Below are 5,964 nucleotides of genomic sequence, written 5' to 3' on the forward strand. Positions count from 1 at the left end.
GCAAACCAATAACAGTCATGTTGAGAAAAACCCAAAAAACCCTAAAGCAACCAGAAATAAAAATCCCTAAAAAGCTTTTCATTTGACTTATCTTAGTTGTTGAGAATATTTCTAGTGACAGTTGACTGATTCTTTCATTTTACAAGTATCCAATCATTCATTAGCAAAAAAGACTTGGATTAAGTATTTGGGTGTAGAGTTTTCTTATTCAAGCCTTCAGTGAAAATGACAGTTTTCATAATCTTATTCTCATGTCTATCTATTTCTACCCAATATGAAGCTCACTGTAATTTGATTCAGTCAGTCGTTGTGTTTCTTGTTGTTGAGCTTCTGCTGTTAGACCATAATAGGGGTAAGAAATAGAAGAATTAGTAAAACCCAGTAACTGCCATGGAGAAATTCAAGTGCATTGGCAATAGAGAAATAACATTCCCACTGTGCTTTAGATTGGGTGGAGTCATCTAACAAAGGGGATTTTGTTAATAAAAATACATTAGCAGAAACACTAAGAGATTATATGCTCTATCTAGAAGGACTTAGGGAGATTATCTAGTTCAAATCCCTCATTTCACCAATAAGGGCATTACAGCTCAGACCTCATAGTGTGTAGCTATCCTGGTAAAGGATTGAAATTTTCATACATCCTAATATTTTATTGCAATAAGAGGTACTTGAAAAAAAGGGTGAATTTGACCTCCATCTACAGATGTGTACATCACCCTCTTATTATTTCTAGGCATTTTGAATTGAAAACAACCTTATGTGTTCACTAATTGGCATGAATTTAAAGTCTTTGTTTTAAACTGTGTTTTGCTATTATTCAGGTATGCTGACACTAACAGATCAGGAGACAATTGTCATTGAAAAAACAGTTGTTATTCACAGTTCTCAAGAGAATGGGGCACAGAACTCCATGCAGGTCCTCAAGGGGAAGCACCAGGGCAGTCAGGAGGCAGACGGAGTGGGAGGAAAGCATGGGCAAGAGGCATTATTGTGGTTTCTGCAAGAAAGAATGGGTGAGGCAGGGTAAGCAGGTTTATGATGATGAGTTTGTTTGAATAATTTCAGTGGGTTTTGGGGTAGGAGGCTGTCCTGAGTTGTTTGGTAACTGGCCTTGCAGTGATTAGGATAGGGGAATATTGGCCTGGAGTTTAAGAGCCAAATAGAAGAGGTGTGGGGGAGTTGTGGGCTTTGGATTGGTGAATTTGCAAGTGAAAGCTGTGCTCCAAGGTTAGTCATTTGCTAATCTCTATGAATTGGCTGTCCTTAGGGAGAGAGGGCAGTCTCTGCCCAGTTAGAGAGACCCCAGATGCCAGAGCATCAGGAATACAGAAAATAAGAAAATATAGTCAACACAGTCTTCTAACAAGCAACATGCATTTTGTGTTGACTGGGGAGGAGGGTTGCCCCTTAATAGAATCAGCTCCAATTATCAATATTATAACTGCCTATAATGAAGTTTTTAGTTTAGTTTGTTTTTACTTAAGCTAGAGTATCATTATATAGTATTGTCTCAAGATATTATTGTAATCTGATAGACAAGATACTAAATATTTCTGGAGCTTCATGTCTTTTGAACTTTGGCAATAGCTTGAGCTTTCCAAATGAAAAATGCTAATATAAACTTTTCAGATGCACAACTCTCTGACTAGTAATTATATTCCCACACTTAGGAGGATGGATTTGTTACTTGAGTTTGGGAAAAATGACTCTGAGTGGAAAAAAAACAAGTAGACTACATATTACAATAGATTATATTGGAAAAGTGCACCTACCTATAAGTTCATGTTTTGAAATTTAGAAGATCTTTTGTCATAGAAAGAAATGCTAGGTGATTTTCAGTTTCAACTTTAAACATGTTTATAGCTTCCCAGTTTTCTATAATGAGTTTGCATCATTATTATAGTTGGGGAAAAATGGTTTTCCAACAAAATATTTATTGAAACTAAGTCAAATCAGGGAAAAGATATAATAACATGTTTTATAATACTTGAAGTAAGGTGTTTATGTAGCCTTTTGGGAAAAGGTTTTGTTTTTGTTTATATGCCATAAATAAAGATATAATATTTCAAAAAAATGAAAATTAGGGTCTCATTTGCCATCTTTAGTATATTTAACCCAAATGTAGCTAAACTTTGAATTTGGGGATCCTATAATTCAATTAGCTAAAATTTTGAGAGTCAGAATGTTTGTTGTATGAGAAAAAGATGGATATATTTGTGGAAAATATGCCTATTTATGAAATAAGCAGAGTTAGGTTTTATATTTACTCTCCTATCACTTCCCCCACAAACTCCAACCCAAGTTAATCCAACCCAAGAAAAACAAAGCCACACACACAGTTCTTACCTCCCCATGCCCCCAGTCCCTCCTGCTGCTCCTCCACCCACAAATGTACCCATCCAACTGCACAGTGCTCTAAAACCATCTTCTCCCCTTTCCTTCTAAAAGAAGACTGGTGTAGTTCAGCATACCAGTGTAATTTCACACAATGAGAACTTCTCCAAGTAAACCACATAAAGGTATAAAATATGACCAATCAATCTCCTTACCCTCCCCAAGTATCTGGCTTTTAAAAAGATGCTTGTGTCCTAAATAAAACTGCAATGGAGGGCAGGAGTGAGGTGTGTATCTTCATCAATGTGACAATATCACGTGTATATGGGCTGATACAATTTATAAGCAGAGAACTATCCAGTAGGCGCAGTGACTTATAAACAATTCCTTCTCTAATACCCCCTCATGCAATAACTTTGCACATTAATTGATCAAGGCTCTAAGAAATTCTGCAGTAAAGAAATCAGCCTAACTATGCTTCGGTCAAGTCCCCAATATTATCTCTATTTTTTATAATGTCTTCTCTTTTTCTAATTCTAAATCTACATATTTTCTAAGAAAGCCAAGCTTTTATAGTTCCCATGGTAAGGACAGGGGACTCTCAAGGAGGGGCAAAGAGAGAGGGTAACAGCTGCCATTTTTATGGGTGGGTGCTTTGTAAATGGAATAGTGCCATGAAGTTACAGGAACAATCAACCTAACATATATCTAAGGATTGTGTCCTATGAAGATTACATTAACCAGTGCCAGCATGGATACAGGGGGAAGGATGGGACATCTCAATATCTCAATCAAAGTATAAGGAGTTGGTTATTTTAGATAACAACAAAATGCAAAATACATCTTCCAGGTTTGCTAGAGAAAACCTACAGACAGCTGAGTCACCCTAAAGTTGTCTTTGGCTCTGTGAAGCCATTCCTCTAGGATTGAGTGGTGTCAAAAAATTCTGCTAGGAAAGGGGTCCTCTATGGGTGCTGTTTCTATCCCTCATCAGGGTTGCTGGCTACCTGTTGCTGGTAGCTGTGAACTAGATGACTCTTGAAGTGACAGCTAGAATCTGTCTTTCTCTTGAAGACAGTAAGCTTGAAAACCAGCTCTCTGATCATTTATGTGTGGGCTTCAATTTGCTATGGTGATAAGAAAACCACCAAAAAAATCATGCCTCTTTGTAATTTTCATTTGCTTAATTCATATGACTTCAAAGTAGCTAAAGGGCTATTTTTTTAAGTATAAAGAATACAAAAGTTCTTGGCTTAGACCTGCTTCTTAAAGTGAAAAATATATACACATACAGGTTTGTGAAATGATTTATTAAGCTGAGAATTATTAGATTTCCTCTATTCTCAATACTTATATTTTACCCTTTGCTGGTGTCTTTATAAACTTCCTATTATGAAGAAACAAACAACAACAACAATAAAAAAAAAACACCCAACCCACTTTTGCATTCTCAACATAAGATTTCTACCTAATTTAAAATTTCTGCCAATAATTTCACCAGGAGAATGTGCCAAATAAGTGAATATTTTTAGTTCTATGAGTTAAACAGCAGATACAGATCTGTGATTGAAGATAAACAATCTGTCAGCTAAATATTTAAAAATAACGAATAGAGTTTCCTCCTAATATACAGTATTAAATTGATTTTGAAGCTCAGATTGATTTTATTAGTAAGTTCTTTTTTTTTTTTCCTTCCTCTGGTGGATAGTTTGCTTAAAAGGATATTAACCTTTTCAACTGGCAACTGGATATTGTGGCAGCAAATGCCTTCCTTTTGAAGCATCCTCCTGATACGTAATGTACAATAGCCAATTTTGATGCCAGTCTCTGGCTCTCTTCATATGTATCATAGTTCTTGTCAAAGAAATCCATTTTATTATTTTTTTTTTATTTTTTGAGACAGTCTTGCTCTGTCACCCAGGCTGGAGTGCGGTGGCACTATCTTAGCTCACTGCAATCTCTGCCTCCCGGGTTCAAGTGATTCTCCTGCCTCAGCCTCCTGAGTAGCTGGGACTACAGGCACCAGCCACCATACCTGGCTAATTTTTGTATTTTTAGTAGAGACGGGGTTTCACCATGTTGGCAAGGCTGTTCTCGAACTCCTGACCTCAAGTGATCCACCTGCCTCAGCCTCTCAAAGTGCTAGGATTACAGGTGTGAGCCACCTCGCCCCGTGAGCTCTGTGAAACCCATTTTTAAAAGGGAGTCATTTATAACTCCAAACTGTATTAATTCTTCTTCTTCATCGTCATTCTCTATACGAAGAAGAAAGATCTTTGAAACTATTCCTTAATCAGTGACATCATTCTAAAATCCTAAGTAATGTTGTCATGAATTGATATTGTATTCCATTGAGTTACTTGACACTTTTAAATATTTGTTTGACAAAATGGGTCATTGATTAAATACTATGATTCAGTTATCTCTAAAAAATATTAAGATAAAACAGCTTTTCTTCTCCAGGTTTGTTTAATAAGAATCATTTAAATTGCAAAAGAGCTATCCTCAAGAGATTCTTGCCAGTTTTATTTTAATGAGAAACAAAACAATATTAAAGAAAACTGGGACAAATTTTGGGAAGTTTCTTGCAGAATCATAAAGGTATAAAAAGTTGTGTAAATCATATTGTTTTTCCATGTTTTTTCTTCAAAGCCAGCTACAGCTTTTTAATTCACTTAAAAATACCTTTTAAGCTCTCTGTCATGGAGACTTAAAGCACATTTTACTGGGATCTTTGGCCTCAAAAAACTTATAACTTGGTATTTTGTTTAACCATGGTTATATTGTGTGTGTGTGTGTGTGTGTGTGTGTGTGTGTGTGTGTGCTTAGCTTCACAAATTCTTACTTTGAAAGTGAGAAATTCTTACCTTGAAGTTGATCCCATTATCTATTCGAGATGACAACCTGGTAATTTGACTTGCCCTTTGTGATTTTTTTTTTTTTTTTTTTTTTTTTTTTGAGACGGAGTCTCATTCTGTCACCCAGGCTGGATGGAATGCAGTGGCACGATCTCGGCTCACTGCAACCTCCATCTCCTGAGTTCAAGCGATTCTCCTGCCTCAGCCTCCTGAGTAGCTGGTATTACAGGTGCACGCCAGCACGCCCAGCTAATTTTTGCATTTTTAGTAGAGACGGGGTTTCACCATGTTGGTCAGGCTGGTCTCGAACTCCTGACCTCATAATCTGCCCAACTCGGCCTGCCAAAGTGCTGGGATTACAGGCGACCTTTGTGATTTATAGTATAGCTCTGTGGTCCTTAGCTTTGGAGATGATGCTACAATATGGGAATTCCCATTCACATTTTGTATCATGTGTTCGTTTTACACTCAGTTTATGTAAAGCATTTGTGAATGCTGCTGTTTGTGGGCTGACCCTTGTTTGTAGCTCTGCCACTCACATTCAACATCTGCTTAAAACTGCTATGCCCAAAAGAGGCAGGTGGTGAGGGTTAAGAATTCAGACTATGCAGTTCCATACCTGCATAGGATACCTGGGCTCGTGCTCCAAATCTTTAGTACTCTAGGTATGTAGCCTTAGGCTACATTTGTCTAAGACTCCTTATCTGCAAAATGGAAGTAATAATATGGTAAAGCTCCTCATTAAACTATAAGTTTTGCCTAAAAATTC

The 5,964-nt window shown here is 36.9% G+C and overlaps 2 annotated features.

Annotated features, from left to right (window-relative positions):
* Positions 268-935: an enhancer, noted in NCBI's record as "OCT4-NANOG-H3K27ac hESC enhancer chr2:157486818-157487485 (GRCh37/hg19 assembly coordinates)". NCBI's record gives its function as "activates a minimal SCP1, AML or CMV promoter by ChIP-STARR-seq in naive and primed H9 embryonic stem cells {active_cell/tissue: H9 hESC(naive and primed)}" and the evidence as "EXISTENCE:reporter gene assay evidence [ECO:0000049][PMID:30033119]".
* Positions 936-1,602: an enhancer, noted in NCBI's record as "OCT4-NANOG-H3K27ac hESC enhancer chr2:157487486-157488152 (GRCh37/hg19 assembly coordinates)". NCBI's record gives its function as "activates a minimal SCP1, AML or CMV promoter by ChIP-STARR-seq in naive and primed H9 embryonic stem cells {active_cell/tissue: H9 hESC(naive and primed)}" and the evidence as "EXISTENCE:reporter gene assay evidence [ECO:0000049][PMID:30033119]".

Source organism: Homo sapiens, chromosome 2, assembly GCF_000001405.40.
Source record: "Homo sapiens chromosome 2, GRCh38.p14 Primary Assembly".
Taxonomy (NCBI): Eukaryota; Metazoa; Chordata; class Mammalia; order Primates; family Hominidae; genus Homo; species Homo sapiens.